This window comes from Homo sapiens, chromosome 20 (genome assembly GCF_000001405.40).
Source record: "Homo sapiens chromosome 20, GRCh38.p14 Primary Assembly".
Classification (NCBI taxonomy): domain Eukaryota; kingdom Metazoa; phylum Chordata; class Mammalia; order Primates; family Hominidae; genus Homo; species Homo sapiens.
In genome coordinates, this window is record NC_000020.11 from 11,407,954 (window position 1) to 11,428,138 (window position 20,185).

Genomic DNA, 20,185 nt, shown 5'->3' on the forward strand with positions numbered 1-20,185 from the left:
GCTGCTCATATAGGGAGAAAAGTAAAAGAACAATGTCATTCTTTGCTAATCTAGAAATAAAATACTATAATTCTCTTGTGTCTGAATTTTGGCAGTCTGGTTCCTTCTGAACAAAGATTTATTAGCAGTGAGACTTTTGCTATGGAGACCTCATTATGCCTATAAAACATTCTACTGTGGTTTTTCAAGTAAGATAGAGAGTTGCTTCTTAAGAAATCAGAAATTGGCATTATCTAAAGAAATGAAAAACATCACAGAAATTTTTGACATCTGCATTTCTGAGACTATGGGAAATGCCACAACAGAGACAAAGTGGGCGGCGTTCTGAGGATTCTGTGTCACATGGTAGCTCCAAAGGCTATCCCTGGACCAACTAAAAGTTATCCACCATCCCACAAACCTCAAGAATGTCCTGACATACATCATGTATCTAAAATTCTCCCTAATTTTTTATTATTAATTTATTTTCAAAATTTAACAAAACTCTTTCTGAAATTGACTAAAATTTATACTAAGTTGACATGCCACATTCATAATCACACTGTGTATATTTACAACTTGGACATTAGGTTTGCCCATGTAGAAAATCAGGGAGACCTCGATCTCTTTCTTGGAAGATCTGGGGGGACTGCTAAGTATATCAGTGCTTTATTGTCACTCAAGTGAACTGCAGCATAGCCATCCCCTCTACAACAAGACCTGAAGTCAATATTGCCTACAGGTGAAACCAACTAGCCCTGTGTTAGAGGAGGAAATGTCATGATGAGATGATGTCTCCGAGCCTATGCAGTTCACCTGCCAAGGAAAAGCCCAAGGTGCTATGTATTCTTCTCTTTAGGATTTAGGATTATCATTTATGTGCTGTTACACAGTGAAACCTTGCTTGTGTGTATGTGAAAGCTGGTTGGCATTGTTTTCAATTCAGTTTTTGGATGGCTAACTTGATTGTTTTTACTGTGCTGCTGGAATGCCTCTGTATCTTTCCGCCTCTTTGCCTATCTTTTCTAAAATTATAGCGATGAATACTTTAGCCAAAAAAAACAAAAAGCAAAAACTCTCAGATGAGAGTCAGAATTTTAAACATTATAAACTAATGGAGAATTGAAGTGTATAGAGTCAATGTATTTGACCTCTTACTTTTTAAATGTTTAATCATATTTAATTTTAACTACATAAGTAGTAAATGCTAATGCTGAGCCACAATGCAACACTCTCACTATATTCAAATTTAAAGTTTTGTGCTTCTGGAGCCCTATTTAATAAATCTTTTGCATAACAAATGATCATAAAGATCATTTGGGCATATAGTAACTTCTGGAAACTTCATTAATTTATCTTTTATATTTAGATCTATAATCCACCTGTAATTGTGAATCTTATATGATGTCTTCAATCTTCTGGTGTCACCTTTGCTATAGTAAGTGACTCTCTTTCTGAACATTTTGTTCTATTCAAGTAAAATACTTATTTGCTCTCGTGCCAATATGACACTGTTTTACTATTTATAGCTTTATTATATGTCTTGATAGCTAATAGTGTAAATCATCCAGGTTTCTCCTTCTTGTTAAAGATTGCTGTGGGTATTTTTGGTTTATAGTCAATTTAATTTGTGGCTTATAGTTGATTTAATTACTTGTCTTCCTTCTTTTGTAGTAGTACTATACAGCTATATATTTACCATAGCCAGATGCCTGCCAGGTATATTCTCCTTGACTTTGGCTTGACTGTTGACTTGATTTTATTGATAGAACATTGGCAGATATGAGATGAGCAAAGGCTTCAGACATGCTTGTTTAGTTGGCTTCTTTCTCTTGTGTTCCTGACATTGCCATGAGAAGAGCATATGCTGGGTAACCAGGGCTCCAAATGAGCCAGATTGATCCAAGCTGCCCCAGCTGACTTGCAAACCTGAAACTAAAGCAGAATCATCTCAGCCAACCTTCAGACCTTCCAGTAGGAGAGCAAATGCATGCTCATTGTTAAAAAATATGTTTACTCCTAGCTTTATTTATTTTTAAATAAATTTTATTTCAAAATAGTTTTAGATTTACAGAAAATAAAAATGGATCTAGAAACATTTATAGAGAGTTCCTAAATACCCGGTTTCCACTATTACTAATACCTTACATGACTATGGTAGACACTGGAGTAAGACCTAAAAACACCAAAGAATCTCCTACTTGAAACAAAGATATATGATCTGTAATTAAGGCTTTTTGATTTTTCACCCCAGTTTTCTTTATTTTCTCTGCTAAATACATTTTCACCACTTTAGAATTGTTTGGATTTTTTTTTTTTTTATTTTAGAATAGTTTTAGATTTACAAAGTTAGTAGAGTCCCCATGTACTCCATACTCAGGTTCTCCTATTATTAATATTTTATGTTAATATGATACACTTTTTATAACTAATGAGTCAATAATGATACGATATTATTAACCAAAGTCTGTATTTTATTTAGATTTCCTCAATTCTTATCTGGTGTCTTATTTATATTCCTGGATCCCATCCAGAATACCACTTTACATTTAGTCTTCATGTCTCCTTGGCTGCTTTTGGCTGTGAATTTTTCAAACTTTCCTTTTTTTTGATCATCTTGACCATTTTGAGCAGTATTGCTGAAGCACTGAGTAGTACTGCTGAGGTAGAACATCTCTTTTAAGAGTTTCTGTGATGTTTTCCTAATGATTAAACTGGGGTTATGGGTTTTGGGGAGGATGAAAATAGAGAAATAAAGTCCCCTTCTCATTACATCATATCAAAAATATTGTTAAATGAAAGTTATAGGAGGCCATTGTTTTGGACTAAGCTCCTGTAGTAGGCTCCAACAAATCAGACTAAAATCAAAATGGAGTCACCTATGCTAAAGTTCCATGTCACTAAACTGAAACTAAGCTATCTGATATTCCCAGAAATCAGGAAAGAGAGATGATTACCAATTACTCAATAAGTCAATTTCTTTTTTTTTTCTTTTTTGACACGGAGTCTCTCTCTGTCGCCCAGGCTGGAGTGCAGTGGCGGGATCTCAGCTCACTGCAACCTCCACCTCCCGGGTTCAAGTGATTCTCCTGCCTCAGCCTCCCGAGTAGCTGGGACTACAGGTGCGTGCCCCCATGCCTGGCTAATTTTTTGTATTTTTTTTTTTAGTAGAGACGGGTTTTCACCGCGTTAGCCAGGATGCTCTCGATCTCCTGACCTCATGATCCACCCACCCCGGCCTCCCAAAGTGCTGGGATTACAGGCGTGAGCCACACACCCGGCCAGTAAGTCAATTTCAAACTCCAATTGGCATGATAATGAAGTTCCTTCTGTTTTAATCCTTAAAACACAAGGTAACCTGAAGTGACCCGATGCTAACCAATCAGTTATTTTTTACTGTTTTGTTTCCCTGTTCCTGACTTCCAAGGAAAGTAACTTCTAAATGACCAATGTGATTTTTGTTTTTTGTTTCTGCTTTTTTCAGCCTTTACTGTCTATAAAACCAACAGCATGTGCTCAGCTTCTTGGAACATTTCCTCTCTTTTATAGAATGAAATGTTGCCTGATTCTAGAATTGAAATAAAGATAATTGAGATCTTTAAGCTAAATATGTTCTGATTTTGTCTTTTGACATATATCATCAACCTGAGTTATCAGTGTAGATGTTAACCTTGATGACCTGCCTGTGGCAATGTTTATCAGGTGTCTCTGACATAGGAGTTAAAAAGAAATTATTTAGGCAGATACTGACGGTAAAGAAGTCCTCAGTAAGGTTTTCTTTTTAATGAAAAGCAGCCCCCAAATCTTCTTCTTTTCTAACAAAGAGCAGTTTGTAAAACTGAGCTGCAGACACAAAAACGCAAGCTGGAAGCTTGTATGGGTGAATGCTGGCAGCTGTGCCAATAAGGAAAGGCTACCTGGGGCTAGGCGTATTCAAAATGGCGGCTCCACCTTCCCCTTTCCTTGCAAACCACACAACATGGCCCCAGGCCACGCAAAGACTCCATTTGCATAATAAGATTCCAGTAGGGCAACCAGTTTCCTCATGCGCTATGTAAATGTCACACCTGGTCCAACCAATCTTTGGATCCTATGTAAATCAGACACCGCCTCCTCAAGCCTGTCTATAAAACCCGGTGCATTCCACTGCTAGACGGAAGTCCCATTGGGGCGCCCCTGTCGCTTAGCAGCAGAAAAAGCTGCTCTCTTTTCGCTTTCTTTTTTCTATTAATCCTTCGCTCCTAAACCCACTTCTTGTGTCCGCATCCTCAATTCCTTTGGTATGAGACAATGAACCCTGGGTGTTTACCCTAGACAATGATGCTGCTTCATTTCCATTACAAAGTTACTCTTTATTTCTCTCTAAACTCTTCAGAAGAAAGTCACTATGCACAGCTAATGCTTAAGGACTGGTAGTTATACTTCTCCCTAAAGACAGAGAGTAACTACATACATAATTTTTTTTCTGTACAAATTTGTCTATTTTCCCCAATTTATTTACTTATTCAATCATTCATTTATTTATATCAGTGTGGACTCATGGTCATTTATTTTATATTTTGGGTTGTAATACAACACTATGTCCTGTATTATGTTCCAGCTTATCTTTTTCCAGCTTTGGCTATTGAGAGCTCTTTCAGTTAGCTCCTGGGTCCTGGGACAGAGACTTACCATTGCGGAATTTTTTTTTTTTTTTTTTTTTTTTGAGCACTTTCTCAGTTTATAGAACGGTAAAAATGCAGTTTTCATTACCACTGGGTAAAATTACTTCTAGACCTCTTAAGCTGACAAAGCCTGAAAAACACGTGTGTACACTAATCTGTGTACTTACAAATATCCATAAATATTTCTATATGTAACCATCATTATTTATATTAAGGTAAATACGACATCATGCCAATGTCTCCAACTCTAACCCAATACCACATGGATCATTCCAGACTTCTCCCCTGCTTATCAGTAGCATTCTACTCCCAACAGTCAGAAAAATGCCCCCCACCACCTGACATTTATGTACCTAATTTTAAAATTTCAATATACATGTATAGTGGCTATTTAAAAACTGTTAACAGTACCCCCATTAGATGCACACTTATCAACTGAGGTACAGTGCTTATATAGAGTGTCTTTTGGTTTTAGTCTTACAGATCCTACTCATTTCCAATCTTAGCTCAGTATCTCTTCTTCACTTCCCTTTAGTGATGTTGTTTTACATTTGTAGTACAGTTAGATTCTTTTGTCACATTCTGTATTCTGTTTCTGGGGTTTCCTGGCCTCCTAAATAATTTTTTAAGCTAATACGCACTAAGTTTCACTTTTTGTGCTATAGAGTTCTATAGGTTTTTTGACGAATGGATAGATTCATGTATTTACCAGTACAGAATGATACAAAATACTTTCCCTGCCCTAAAATTTCCCCCATATCTCCTCCCCTATTGCATCTATTCAACTTTCCCCCTGCCTCTGAAAGCCCTAGATCTCTTGACCGTCTCTATCATTTTGCCTTCTTTAGAATGCCAAAGAAATGGAATCATATACCACAGAGACTTTTCAGACCAGCTTAATCACTGAACAACATGCATTTAAGACTCATTCATGTCTTTTTGTGGCTCAGTCCTTTTTATCACTGAATAAAATTCTATTGAATGGATGTCCACAATTTGTTTATCCACTACCCTGTTAGATGACATTTTGGTTGCTTTCAGTTTTTGATGATTATCAATAAAGCTGCTATAAATATTCATGTCCAGATTTTTTAAGGGTTTAGTGTTCAAAGCAGTCAGTTAAATACCTAGAAGTGTCACTGCTGGATCCTATGGTAAGGCTATGGCTAACTTAGTAAGAAATTGCCAACTGCCTTCTAAAGTGACTACATCAATAATGAATGATAGTTCCTGTTGCTCTATATCCTCATCAGCATTTGATATTGTCAGTGTTTTGGATTTTGGCCATTTCATTCATCATGTGTATAGTTGTATCTAATGTTGGTTTAATTTACAAATCCCTAATGGCAAATGATGTTAAGCATTTTTTCAAGTGATTATTTTCAATATGTAAGTCTTCTTTAGTGAAGTATCTTTTCAGATATTTTGCCAGTTTTTAATTGGATTATTTCTTACCTTATTGTATTTTAGGAGTTTGATGTACATTTTAGATGCATATTCTTTATAACATATGTGTTTAACAAATATTAATATTTTCTTCTAGCTTCTGTCTTGTATTTTTATCCCCTTAACATCTTTCCAGAGCATAAGTTGTTGGGTTTTGTTTGTTTGTTTGTTTGTTTTTTGACAGAGTCCAATTACTGTAGTTTTATGGAAAGTCTTGAAATTAGGTAGCATCAGTCCAATAACTTGTTTTGCTTCTTCAGGTTTGTATTGGCCATTCTATGTCTTTTGCCTTTACATGTAAACTTCAGATCATTTTGTCAATACCTACAAAACAGCTACCTGAGATTTTGATTGGGATAACTGGGTTGAAACTATAGATAAAGTTGAGAAGAATTTATCTCTACAGTATATATAATCTATGAACGTGGACTATCTCGCTATAATTATATTTTTTATTTTCTTCACCATCAATTTGTAGTTTTCTACACCCAGTTCCTGTTATGTTTTGTTAGCTATATACTAAATATTTCTCTCTCTTCATATTATTTTAAATAATATCTTTAAATACCATTTTAAATTTCCAATTCCATCTGTTCATTCTGGGTATATAAGAAAGCAATTGGCGTTTGCATGTTGATATTGTACTTTACAGTTTTGCTCTATTCACTCATTAGTTTCTGGAAGTTTTTGGTAGAAATTTTGAAATTTTTGAGATTTACAATCATGCCTTATGTGAATAAAGACTGTTTTATTTGTTGCTTTTCTTTAATTTCTCTGTTATTATTCTTTAATTTTCTATTATTGTACTAGTTAGGGATTCCAGTACAATGGAAATATGAGTGGTAAGAGAGGACATCTATCTTTCATTCTCAGTTTTAGAAAAAAAAGTAGCTAGTCTCTCATCATTAAGTAAGATGCTAGGTATGGGATTTTTGTGGATGTTTTCAAATTAGGTTTCAGAAAGCACCCTTTTTTATTAATTTTATGAGAGTTTTTAAAATATTATGAATGGGTATTGGATTTTGTAAAAAGCTTTCCTGGTATCAATTAATCTAGCATATATTTTTTTCTTCTTTAGCATGTTTATATAGTTGAATAAATTGATTTGTTTTCAAATGTTGAACCAGCCTTACATACTTGAAATAATCCCATTTAATCATTCTGTATAATTATCTTTATACATTGTTAGAAAACTTTGCTAATGTTTTGCTGAAGAATTTTGCATCAAAGTTCATGAAAGATGTTGTTCTGCAGTTTTTCTATATCATAATGTCTGTGTCTTGTTTTAGTTTCAGGGTAATACTTCTATAATAGAATGAGTTAGGAAGTGTTTCTGCTGCTTCTATTTTTAGAAGTAATTGTGGAGAATTCATATTATATTTTCCTTAAATGTTTTGTAGAATTCACCAGTGAAACCATCTAGGCCTGGTCCTTTTATTTTTTTGAAAATTACTAATTCTTGATTTGATTTATTTTAATATCTATAGGCTATTTGGGTTATTTCTCCTGTACATTTTGGTAGATTGTATCCTTGAAGGAATTGTTTCATTACATATAAGTTATTAAAAGTGTGAAACAAAATTATTCAAATATTCCTCTTTTTCTCTCTTTAATACCTATGAGATTAGTAGGGCTGGCACCTATTTTATTTATTGTATTGGTAATTTACGTCTCTCCTTCTTTTTATTTGTTAGCCTGGCTAGAGGTTTATCCATTTAATTGATCTTTTCAAAGAAGCAGCTTTTGGTTTTGTTCAGTTTTGCTATTTTTTTGTTTCCAATTTCATTGATTTCTGTCCTATTATTATTTATTTCCTTCTGTTTGCTTAGGCTTATATTTCTTTAGTTCTCTAGTTTTACAAGGTAAATTAGGTTATTAATTTTTAGGTTTTTTTCTAGTATTTGAATTTTATGCTATAAATTTTCCTCTTAGCATTACTGTTGCTGCATCTCATATTTTTTTTCAACTTTTATTTTAGATTCAGGGGGTACCTCTGCAGGTTTGTTAATTGGGTATATTGTGTGATGCTGAGAGTTAATGATCCCATCACCCAGGTACTGAGCATACTACTCAATAGTTGTCCCCCTCCATGCTCCCTCCCTCTAGTAGTCCCCAGTTTCTATTGTTGCCATCTTTGTATCCATGAATACCCAATTTTGCCTCCCACTTAGGAATAAGAACATAAAATATTTGGTTTTCTGTTTCTGTATTAATTTACTTAGGATAATGGCCTCCAGCTGCATCCATGATGCTGCAAAGGAAATGATTTCATTCTTTTCATGGCTGCATAGTATGGAATACTAAGTATTCCATAAAAATGTGGTGCATATATACCATATTTTCTTTATGCAGTCCACCATTGATGGGCACCTAGGTTGAATCCATGTCTTTATTATTGCATCCCACAAATTTTGGTGAACTGCATCTTCATTTTCATTTAGTTCAAATTTTTTAAGTATTTTTTTTTTAGTTTTCTTATTTGAACATGGGTAATTTAGAATTCTTTTAATTTCCTAATAATGTAGATTTTCCAGCTATCTTTCTATTATTGATTTCTAGTTTAATTCCATTATGGTCTGGAATCATACTTTGTATAATCTATATTTGTTCAATTTATTACGATGTAATTTATGGCTTAGAATGTAATCTATCTTGATGAATGTTCCATGTGAGCTTCAGAAGAATGTATGTTCTGACATCCATATTTACAGTATTCTATTCATTTCAATTAGATCAAGTTGCTCAATAGTGCTATTCAGATCAATTATATCCTTACTAATTTTCTGCCTCCTTGATCTAACAATTACTGAAAAAGGCATGCTAAGGTTTTTAACTATTATAGTGACTATTCTATTTCACCTTTATTTCTATCAGTTTTTGTCTCATATGTTTTGATATTCTGTTTGTAGGTGCATATATGTTTAGAACTGCTGTCTTTTTGGAGCATGGACCCTTTATCATTATACAATGTTCTTCTTTATCCTTCATGATCTTCCTTGTTCTGAAATCAGTTTTGTCTAAATTTAATATAGCTGCTCCAAATTTCTTTTGATTAGGTTTAACATAGTATATATTTTTTCATCTCTTTACACTTAATGAAATGTTTATATTTAAAGTAGATTTCTTGTAGACAACATAGAGTTGTGTCTCTAGTGTTAAAACCTACTCTGGAAATCACTATTTTCAGTAGACTTTTTAGACCATCCACATTTAAAGTGATTATTGATATAGTCATAATAATATTTGCCATATTTGTGACTGTTTTCGATATCTTGCAATTGTACTTAGTTTATTTTGTTTTTTAAATCTTCCTCTCTTTTTCTGCCCTCTATGGTTTTAGTTGAGCATTTCATGTGAGTTCATTTTATCTCCTTTCTAACTATATCATCATGGTTTCTTAAAAGCATGTAGTCTTGACTTATGCACTTATGTTCTGATATTAATTCACCTTCAAATAATGCCACACCACTTCACATATAGTGAGGTTATCTTATCCAGGGTTTTTTCAGTTCTTCCTTCTTACCCTTTGTGATATTGCTGTCATCTGTGTTGCTGCTCCATATATTACAATTATCTAATAAACTGCTGCTATTATTGCTTTAAAGAAATGGTTATCTTTTAAATAAATGAAGAATAAGAAAAATAAAATATCTTTCTTTACCATTATTTATTTCTTCTCCAGTGCTCTTCCTTTATGTATAGCAAATTTTCAGACCTATAATATTTTTCTTCTAACTGAAGAATTTTTTAGCATTTCTTGCAAGTCAGGCCTGCTAGTGATTAATTCTCTCAGTATTTTTTGTCTGATAAAGTCAATATCCCTCATTTTTGAAACATAGCTTTACTAGATATAGAGTTCCAGATTAATGTTTGCTTTTTTTAATCACTTTAATTAATTTATTTTAAATTAATTAAATTTAAAATTTAATTAATTTTAATTCTTGCTTTCATGGTTTCTGGTGAGAAGTCTGCTGTAATTTTAACCTTTTTCTCTATAGATAAGGTGATTTTTTTCTCCCTCTGACGTCTTTCAGAATTTTTTGTCTTTGGTTGTCTGCAGTTTATGATATAATATGCTTAGAGATGTGTGTGTGTGTGTGTGTGTGTGTGTGTGTGTGTGTGTTTGATATTTGTGCTGCTTGGTGTTCTCTGAGCTTCCTTGATGTACCATTTAGTATCTTTTATTAGTTATAGAAAATTTTGGTCATTATTACTTCACATATTTTTTCTGCTTCATTCTATCTTAATTTCCATTGGGGTATCCAAATTACGTGAGTATTATATCACTTGAAATTGTCCCACACTTCCTGGATATTCTGTTTTGTCTTTTTCATTCTTTTTGCATTGCAGTTTGGAAAGTTTCTATTGGACTATCTTCAAGCTTACTTACTCTACCCTCAGCCATGTTAAATCTACTGATCCAGCCATCAAAAGTTTTCTGCATTTCTCTTACAGTGCTTCTAATTAGATTCTTTTTAAGAGTTTCCATCTCTCTGCTTATATTACCTATCTCTTCCTGCATGTTGTCTCCTTTGTCCATTAGCGGCCTTAGCCTATTAATTATAATTACTTTGAATTTCAGGTCTGATAATTCCAGGATTATCTGATTCATATCCGAATCTGGTTGTGATGATTGCTTCATTGCTGCCTCTCTTCAGAATGTTTCATTTTGTTTTTTATCTGTTTACTTATTAGCAGGTCTTGAAATTTTTTGATGAAAGTTGGACGTACTGTATTAGGTAATAGAGAAATGGACTGTTAGTGAGGGCATTTATGTTAATCTGCACAGGGGTTTGGCTTTGTTAAGTGCTTGCTGTAGCTATAGGTGCCAGAGTCACAACATTTCTGTAATGTCCTTGTTTTGTTCTCTTTTGATATTTGATTTTCATAATTACTTTTCCTCAAAGAAGAGTAATTGTAGCTTTTCTAGTTATAATTCACTGTTACACTTTGAGCCCTGTAGATGCAGTGGTAAAATTTGAGAGGTGGGAAGCATCCTATAGTCTTCCCATTAAGTCTCAGTCTTTTAGTGGGTCTGTGTCTCAGGACTGTGAGTTTCACGAATTTTCCTATAGTGCTACAGCTTTCCCCTACATCCCTACCACAGTTCTTGGCTGAAGTGTTCCCAGTTTATCTCCTTAAAGCCAATTACCTCCCTCTTAACTGTGTGAACTTTTTCCCCTTAGGTGAGACAGAAAAACTGGTGGCACCAAGATCAAGCCTTTTCCTCAGCTGAGACAAAACTGTGACAGTTTTCTCTCCTGGAGAGTAAGGCTTTGATATGAAGGAGGCTTTCACTATTACACATTTGCTCCTTTACCAGAACCATGAGAGTCAATATTTTCGGATTCTCACTGCGAGAAACTGGTGGGGTTCTCCTGAAGGTAAAGCCTAGAAAGTGTGACTCTCCTCCTCCCCACACCTTTACCCACCAAGACCGTCCCTCACAGTAGTTTCTCAAATTCATTCTAGTCCATACTCAGCCTCCAGCAATTCATCAAAATTGCCATTTAAATGTTCCTACCAGTTTATGACTGCAGTAGATACTGCTCTAGGTAAATAGATGTCTGCTATGACTCTCTCTAGGTGCCCCTTTCTCTCCAGATTCCAGGGTGTTGGTTTTCCCTGAAATCTCAGTTCTCTGATGTGTCCAGGAAAAGTCACAAATTTTCAGTTTATCCAATTCTTTCTTATGATAAGGATAGGAATTATGACCTCTAAACTCTTTATTTGATAGAGTTAAAACAAGAGAAGTGCTCGCTCTTTTAAGCCTCTGAATTTTTGGATAATTTTATATGCAGCAATTTTATAGAAATAACTAGTTGACACATTTAATCACATACTGTATGTGTGTGCGTGCACTTATGCACACACACACGATTTTGATTGAGATTACATTGAGTTCAAAGATCTTTTGAAGGGAGTTGACATCTTTACAATATTATTTGTTCTGATTAAATGTATGGACATAGTACATCTTCAATTTATTTCTTAAATTATGCACTGTAGTTTGCTGGGTAGAATTCTGAAACATTTTTTAATCATAATTTGACTTCTTTTGATATCATAAATAGCATATTAAAATATTTTCTATTTGTTCATGGTATATATAATAAAAATATATATTTATTTATATATAAAAATGTATAATATAAATAAAATTTAAAATGTATACATGAAAATTGCTTTTTACATTTTTTTAATTTTGGTGTAATTCTTTTTTTTTTCTTTTTTTAAAATTATACTTTAAGTTCTGGGATACATGTGCAGAATGTGGATGTTTGTTACATAAGTATACATGTGCCATGGTGGTTTGCTGCACCCATCAACTCATCATCTACATAGGTATTTCTCCTAATGCTATCGTTCCCTTTGCCCCTCACCCCCTGACAGGCCCTGGTGTGTGATGTTCCCCTCCCTGTGCCCATTGTTCAGCTCCCATTTATGAGTGAGAACATGGGATGTTTTGTTTTCTGTTCCTGTGTTAGTTTGCTGAGAATGATGGTTTCCAGCTTCATCCATGTCCCTGCAAAGGGCACGAACTCATTCTTTTTTATGACTGCATAGTATTCCATGGTGTATATGTGCTACATTTTCTTTATCCAGTCTATCATTGATGTGCATTTGGGTTGGTTTCATGTCTTTGCTATTGTGAATCGTGCTGCAATAAACATACCTGTGCATATATCTTTATAGTAGAATGATTTATAATCCTTTGGGTATACACCCCATAATGGGATTGCTGGGTCAAATGGTATTTCTAGTTCTAGATCCTTGAGGAATTGCCACACTGTCTTTCACAATGGTTGAACTAATTTACACTCCCACCAACAGTGTAAAAGTGTTCCTATTTCTCCACATCCTCTCCAGCATCTGTTGTTTTCTGATCTCCATTCTCACTGGTGTGAGATGGTATCTTATTGTGGTTTTGATTCGCATTTCGCTAATGACCAGTGATGATGAGCTTTTTTTCATGTTTGTTGGCCATGTAAATGTCTTATTTTAAAATGTGTCTGTTAATATCCTTTGCCCACTTTTTGATGGGTTTTTTTTTTCTTGTAAATTTGTTTAAGTTCCTTGTAGATTTTGGATATTAGCCCTTTTTCAGAAGGATAGATTGCAAAAATCTTCTCCCATTCTGTAGGTTGCCTGTTCACTCCGATGATAGTTTCTTTTGCTGTGCAGAAGCTCTTTAGCTTAATCAGATCCCATTTGTCAATTTTGGCTTTTGTTGCAATTGCTTTTGGTGTTTTAGTCATGAAGTCTTTGCCCATGCCTATGTCCTGAATGGTATTGCTTAGGTTTTCTTCTGGGATTTTTATGGTTTTAGGTCTTACATTTAAATCTTTAATCCATCTTGAGTTAATTTTTATATACGGTGTAAGGAAGGAATCCAGTTTCAATTTTCTTCATATGGCTAGCCAGTTTTCCCAACAACATTTATTAAATAGGGAATCCTTTCCCCATTGCTTGTTTTTGTCAGGTTTGTCAAAGATCAGATGGTTGTATACGTGTGGTGTCATATCTGAGGCCTCCGTTCTGTTCCATTGGTCTATATATCTGTTTTGGTACCAGTACCATGCTGTTTTGGTTACTGTCACCTGGTAGTATAGTTTGAAGTCAGGTAGCGTGATGCCTCCAGGTTTGTTCTTTTTGCTTAGGATTGTCTTGGCTATACGAGCTCATTTTTGGTTCCGTATGAAATTTAAAGTAGTTTTTTAAAATTCTGTTACGTAAGTCAATGGTAGCTTGACAGGGATAGCATTGAATCTATAAATTACTTTGGGCAGTGTGGCCATTTTCATGATATTGATTCTTCCTATCCATGAGCATGGAATGTTTTTCCATTTGTTCATGTCTTCTCTTATTTCCATGAGCAGTGGTTTGTAGTTCTCCTTGAAGAGGCCCTTCACATCCCTCTTAAGTTGTATTCCTAGGTATTTTATTCTCTTTGTAGCAATTGTGAATGGGAGTTCACTAATGATTTGGCTCTCTATTATTGGTGTATAGCAATGCTTGTGATTTTTGCACATTGATTTTGTATCCTGAGACTGCTGAAATTGCTTATCAGCTTAAGGAGTTTTGGGGCTGAGACGAAGGGGTTTTCTAAATATACAATCATGTCATTCTGCAAAAAGAGATTATTTGACTTCCTCTCTTCCTATTTTAATACTCTTTATTTCTTTCTCTTGCCTGATTGCCCTGGCCAGAACTTCCAATACTATGTTGAATAGGAGTGGTGAGAGAGGGTATCTTTGTCTTGTGCTGGTTTTCAAAGGGAATGTTTTCAGCTTTTGCCCATTCAGTATGATATTGGCTGTGAGTTTGTCATAAATAGCTCTTATTATTTTGAGATACGTTCCATCAATACCTAGTTCAGTGAGGGTTTTTAGCATGAAGGGGTGTTGAATTTTATCAAAGGCCTTTTCTGCATCTATTGAGATATCCAGAAAATTTAGAAGAAATGGATAAATTCCTGGACACATACACCCTCCCAATACTCCCAAGATAACCATGTGGTTTTTGTCATTGGTATGTGATGGATTACATTTATTGATTTGCTTACGTTGAACCAGTCTTGCATCCCAGAGATGAAACTGACTTGATCGTGATGCATAAGCTTTTTAATGTGCTGCTGGATTTGGTTTGCCAGTATTTTATTGAGGATTTTTGCATTGATGTTCATCAGGGATATTGGCCTGAAATTTTCTTTTTTTATTGTGTCTGTGTCAGGTTTTGGTATCAGGATGATGCCTGCCTCATAAACTGAGTTAGGGAGTCTTCCCTCTTTTTCTATTGTTTGGAATAGTTTCAGAAGGAATGGTACCAGCTCCTCTCTGTACCTCTGGTAGAATTCGGCTGTGAATCCATCTGGTCCTTGACTTTTATTGGTCGGTAGGCTATTAATTACTGCCTCAATTTCAGAACTTGCTATTGGTCTATTCAGGGATATGACTGCCTCTTGGGGTAGTCTTGGGAGGGTGTATATGTCCAGGAATTTATCCATTTCCTCTAGATTTTCTAGTTTATTTGCATTGAGTTTTTATCACTTGGCTCCCTGCCTTCAGCCCCCTTTCCAGGGGAGTGAATGGTTCTGTCTCAATGGCATTCCAGGTGCCACTGGGGTATGAAAAAAACTCCTGAAGTTAGCTCGGTGTCTGCTCAAACAGCCATACAGTTTTGTGCTTGAAACCCAGGGCCCTGTTGGTGTAGGCACCCACGGGAATCTCCTTGTCTGTGGGTTGTGAAGACTGTGGGAAAAGCATAGTATCTGGGCCAGATAGCACCATCCCTCCAGGCACAGTCCCTCACGGCTTGCCTTGGCTAGGGGAGGGAGTTCCCCTACCCCTTGTGCTTCCCGGGTGAGGTGATGCACCATCCTGCTTCTGCTTACCCTCTGCCACACCCACTGTCTTACCAGTCCCAATGAAGTGAACTGGGTACTTCAGTTGGAAATGCAGAAATAACCCCTCTTCTGCATTGGTCTCTCTGGGAGCTGCAGGCCAGAGCTGTTCCTATTTGGCCTTTTTGCCCAGGAGTTTTTCATAAGTTTTTAATTGAAATAAAACATATGTGACGAACAATACAAAAATCATTAGTGTACACTTTGATGGATTTTACAGCTCACTGGTATAATCATCATGCCAGCAGCAAAGCTACATGCCACCATGTAGTTCTTATACCCAAGCACGAGTACCCACTTTCCTGACTTCTAGCAGATAGGTTATTCCTGGCTGTTTCATACTTTATATTAATTAAGCCATACTGCATATATTCTTTTGTTTCTGGCTTCTCTCAGCATTATGTTTTTGATATTCTACCATGTTGTTGAGTATAGGTTCATGGAGTTTCATTGCTCATGGATTCCTGTTGCAGATAGTTCATGGAGTCTCAGAGCTATATAATACTCAACTTTGTAAATGTTCCACAATCTATATATCCTTCTTACTATCAATAGGCACTTGGGTCATTTCCAATTTTTAACTATTATTTACATATATTTTTGTAATATATATACATATCTGCAGCAGTATTATGGAAACAACTTATATATGTAATATATTAATGTAATACCTATATACATATATTTTTGAGTGAATATGCAGCAATATTATGGAAATAACTAGATGTATGTTATATATAACTAGTTGACACATTATATATATATATATATGAAATTCAATTCATCATTTTCAAAAATAAATAGCCTTTTGGGTCTTGTTTAAGAAGTCTTTACTTACTACAATGCCATGAAGCTATTTTCTCATTTTCTTTCTAAAAGCTTTATATTTTACTTTTCACATTTAGACCTTCAATCTTTATGGAATTGTTGTTATGTATGGTATGAGATAGGAATCAACACATATATGTATATATTCATATATATTTTTCTATATCAATATACAAAAACACAAAACCATATACTAAAATCACCATTCTTACTCCACTGTACTAGTGTTACCTCTGACACAAATCAGATGACCATACATGTGTTGAGCAGTTTCTGGTTTCTTTATTCTTTTCCATTTGTTTGTTTTGTTGATTTATTGATTTACCTGGTGTCTATATCACAATATCTTAATACGTATACTATATATTTGGCCTTAATATCTGATAGTACAAGTCATCTAGTTTGTATTTAATAACAATAACAACCACTTTGGCCATTCTAGTTCTTTTGCAGTTCCAAAGGAACTTTGATTCTAAATTTTTATAATCAAAACTCTGATAAAAATGTTGCATTAAATTACACTGTATTTTAAATCAATTTGGAGAACACTGAAATTTTAAAATGTTTAGTCTTTTATTCCATGCATATAATCTCTTTGGGTCTTTCAAAATTTCTTCTCAATAGCATGTTACTGTTTTCAGTGTAGAGGTCTTTCATGCCTATTATTAGATATATTTGGAGCTATTTGATGTTTTTGATAGTATTTTAAGTGTTATTTTATCAAAATTGAATTACCTATGTATTTATTGCTGATGTCCAGAAGTAAATATGATTTTTACATTAACCTTCTATTCAAAGGCCTTGTTACATTAATGTATTAATTCTACCCATGTGTCTACAGAGTATTTTGTTTTTTTAATGTACAAAACCATGTTAGCTGCAAATAATAAAACTTTTCTTCCTTCCTATTCAATTTCTAAACAGTTTATTTTTCTTATCTAGGTCTTACCTAGGACATCTAGTCTATAGCTGCACCTTTATTTTATTCAGATTTTAATTTTAAAGGAACAAATGACAATTTTCATTGTGTGCTGTTTATTGTAGGTTTTGTGTAGACACTATTATCAGATCTTAAAAGTTGTTGCCTATACCTGTTGTGCTAATAGTTTCTTTTTAATCATTAATGAATATATAATTTCATTTAAATATTTTCCCCCATTAATTAAGAAATTTTTTTTTCTTTTTTCTGTTAGTGTTGTAAGTGTCTTAGTTGAATTTTGAAGGATAAGCCAACTTTAAATTTCTGGAATAAATCAATGTCATCATGATATATTGTCCTAGTCATATGCCACTGATTTTCTAAAACAAAACAAAAGACTACAGTTAATCCATCCCCCCTGAATAAGATAAAAATATTATTTCAGCTCTCTAGCCTTCTATGTACACTACCATCTATAGAATAACTAAATTTGTTTTGTTTACTATATGTTAGATGTTCTTCCAGGTATTAAATCTATATTAACCTCTTTAATACTCATGATTAAAATGAGAAATGATATCTCATTTCTATTTCACAAATGAGAAAATTGAAGCAGGAAGAGGTTAAGTACCATGCCGAAGGTCACCCCAAACTAAATTTTGTTCCTGGCTGGCTGATTCCAGAGCTGGTGTGTTTGTGATTCCACCATGCTGCTGGGCTGTGTCTTTCAGCTGAGATTTTTAACCTCAAATATTTTAACAAGTTATTTAGAGATACCAATAGGATTCTCTGGTTTTCTTACTATTGTTTCTTGTACACTGGATTCGTTTGTTTCTCTACTGGATCATATCTGCTATTGCATATTTTAGAGAAAGTCTAGGTATGATAAGACTCCTGAATAAATGCATGTCTGAAAGTATATTTCTTTATTTTCACATGTAAATGATAGCACTGGGAAATATGGCGGTACATTTATTTCCCCTCCACTTACTCTTGCATGTATCTGTTCCAAATCTCCAAACACTAGGATCTTTGACCATTCTTTTTTTGTCATTCCGAAATTTAACCACAATATGTGAATAGCTATATCTTTTACAATTCATTCTGCTCAACAGACCTTCTTATCCTGATGATGTATGACCTCTTTAATCCTGAGAAATTTTCTCTCATTGTTTTGAGAATTTCAGGCTATATGTTTAAGATTCTTGCAGCTTCATTCAGGTTTACTTAATAATTTTTTCACATACGAAGACATTTATAAGAGAAAAAAACCCTTCATAATTATATCATCCAGATATATCAACTGTTATCATTTCTCTGTAATCGTCTCTTATAAGCCATGTCTGTGGTTTTTAAATAATTTAAATCACTTGATGTTTAGTGCTATATTTTGCTTTTATCTCATTACGTGTTACGTATTTTTTTTACATATCGCAGAGCATTAGTAACCATTTAAAGGCTTATTTTACTCCATTGAGTTAAAGGCTTAATTTATTCCATTGAGTTGTCAAAACTTTTTTTACCTAGAAAAAAAAGATTCTGGAGAGACAATCACATTCTTACATGTAGCTTGACAAACCACCCACACCTTTCCCTGCTAAGCCCGATGAGTTTACAGCCAACTAAGAAACCATAGGTATTAGACAGATAGAAATTTAAAAATACTAACTTTACAACTTATAAAATTAAGTGAAGAAAAAACACTTTGTCTGGTAGCCAGGGCGCACATGGGATCCCGCACTTAGAAGAGACCAGCCCTTGGTTTAATGCTACTCCCTCAACACTTTCAAATTAGTCACCATTTTTGAAAAGGGAGCTCTGCATTTAACCGTGCACGGGGCTCTGCAGATTATGTAGCCAGTTCTGCTAGTAGCCTTAGTCAGTATTTCTAGTGTTTCCTTTTAAGTCTGGACCTTGTAATGACCCCCCATGAAAAGGAATTTGCAGAGCTGACCTTTGCTTTTCAGCTGAAATGGGATCACTCCCGCCCTTACATCAAGCCCCAATTTCAAGAACAGAGAGAGAAAAAAGGCCTCATCACTAACCTCTAGATGTGTTTATCCCTTGGAGAGGGAGCTGTTGAAGAGGATCACTGTTCTTTCCCAAACATTTGAAAGGGCAGAGGCACTGCTTTATGAGCTAAGTTATGACTTCCTAAAGAGGGAGGAACATGTTTTTCCTATGACTTCAAAAATGTGAAGGGCTGTCAGTGGAAAAGATCTCTGATTGATTCAGAACTATAACAGGTATAAAACTCAGTCAGAAGAGTGAAAGTAAGAGGCAGGCTTATTTGGAGAGAATGTGAGATTAATCTATTTTAAAACGAGTATTACTGAAAAACTAGAATCTGATAACTTGAGATATAAAAATTTGTTATCATTGGAAATATTCAGCCACGAAATAACTGAATGCATATCTACTGGGAAGAGGTCTTTAAATACAGAGTTGAAACTACTGCTTCAGGAGGAATAAATAAAACAACTTCCTCTGTAATTTATTTCGTTTTCCTTCTTCAAGGGATGCGTTATTAATCTATTGCTGTTCTTTTCTGTTCTTTTAATTTTTCAATACTCTTTCAATATTGAATACATCTCTAAGACTGTGCTTATATCCATACTCAACTGTCTTTCAAAAGTATATATGTATATATCACTTTTATTAAATATATAGTAAGAAGTTATTGTATGTTTCCTATTGCAAGCCACTGGACTGAAATTTAAATTATGTATATAACATCTTACTTGATTTTATCAGATACTATCATTATCCCATTTTATAGAGCAAGAACCCAAGGCTTAGATAGGTTTACTGTCATGTTCATAGATACGCAGCTAGAAAGGCCCATAATTTTATTCAAACTCCCACCCATCTGATTATAAAACTAGGATTCCTAAATACCACAATACAGTGTTTAACACATCCTAATATTTTTGCCCTATATTTATA

General features: G+C 34.4%; 1 long non-coding RNA gene across 1 annotated transcript in view; it reads right to left on the reverse strand.

Annotated features, from left to right (window-relative positions):
* Positions 1-19,341, reverse strand: part of LOC105372529 (uncharacterized) — a 117,487-nt gene extending 98,146 nt beyond the window's left edge. The window contains exon 1 of the long non-coding RNA XR_937261.2: positions 19,285-19,341. This is a non-coding gene — a long non-coding RNA (uncharacterized LOC105372529). The remainder of the gene's footprint in view (positions 1-19,284) is intronic.
* Between the last annotated feature and the right edge of the window lie 844 nt (positions 19,342-20,185).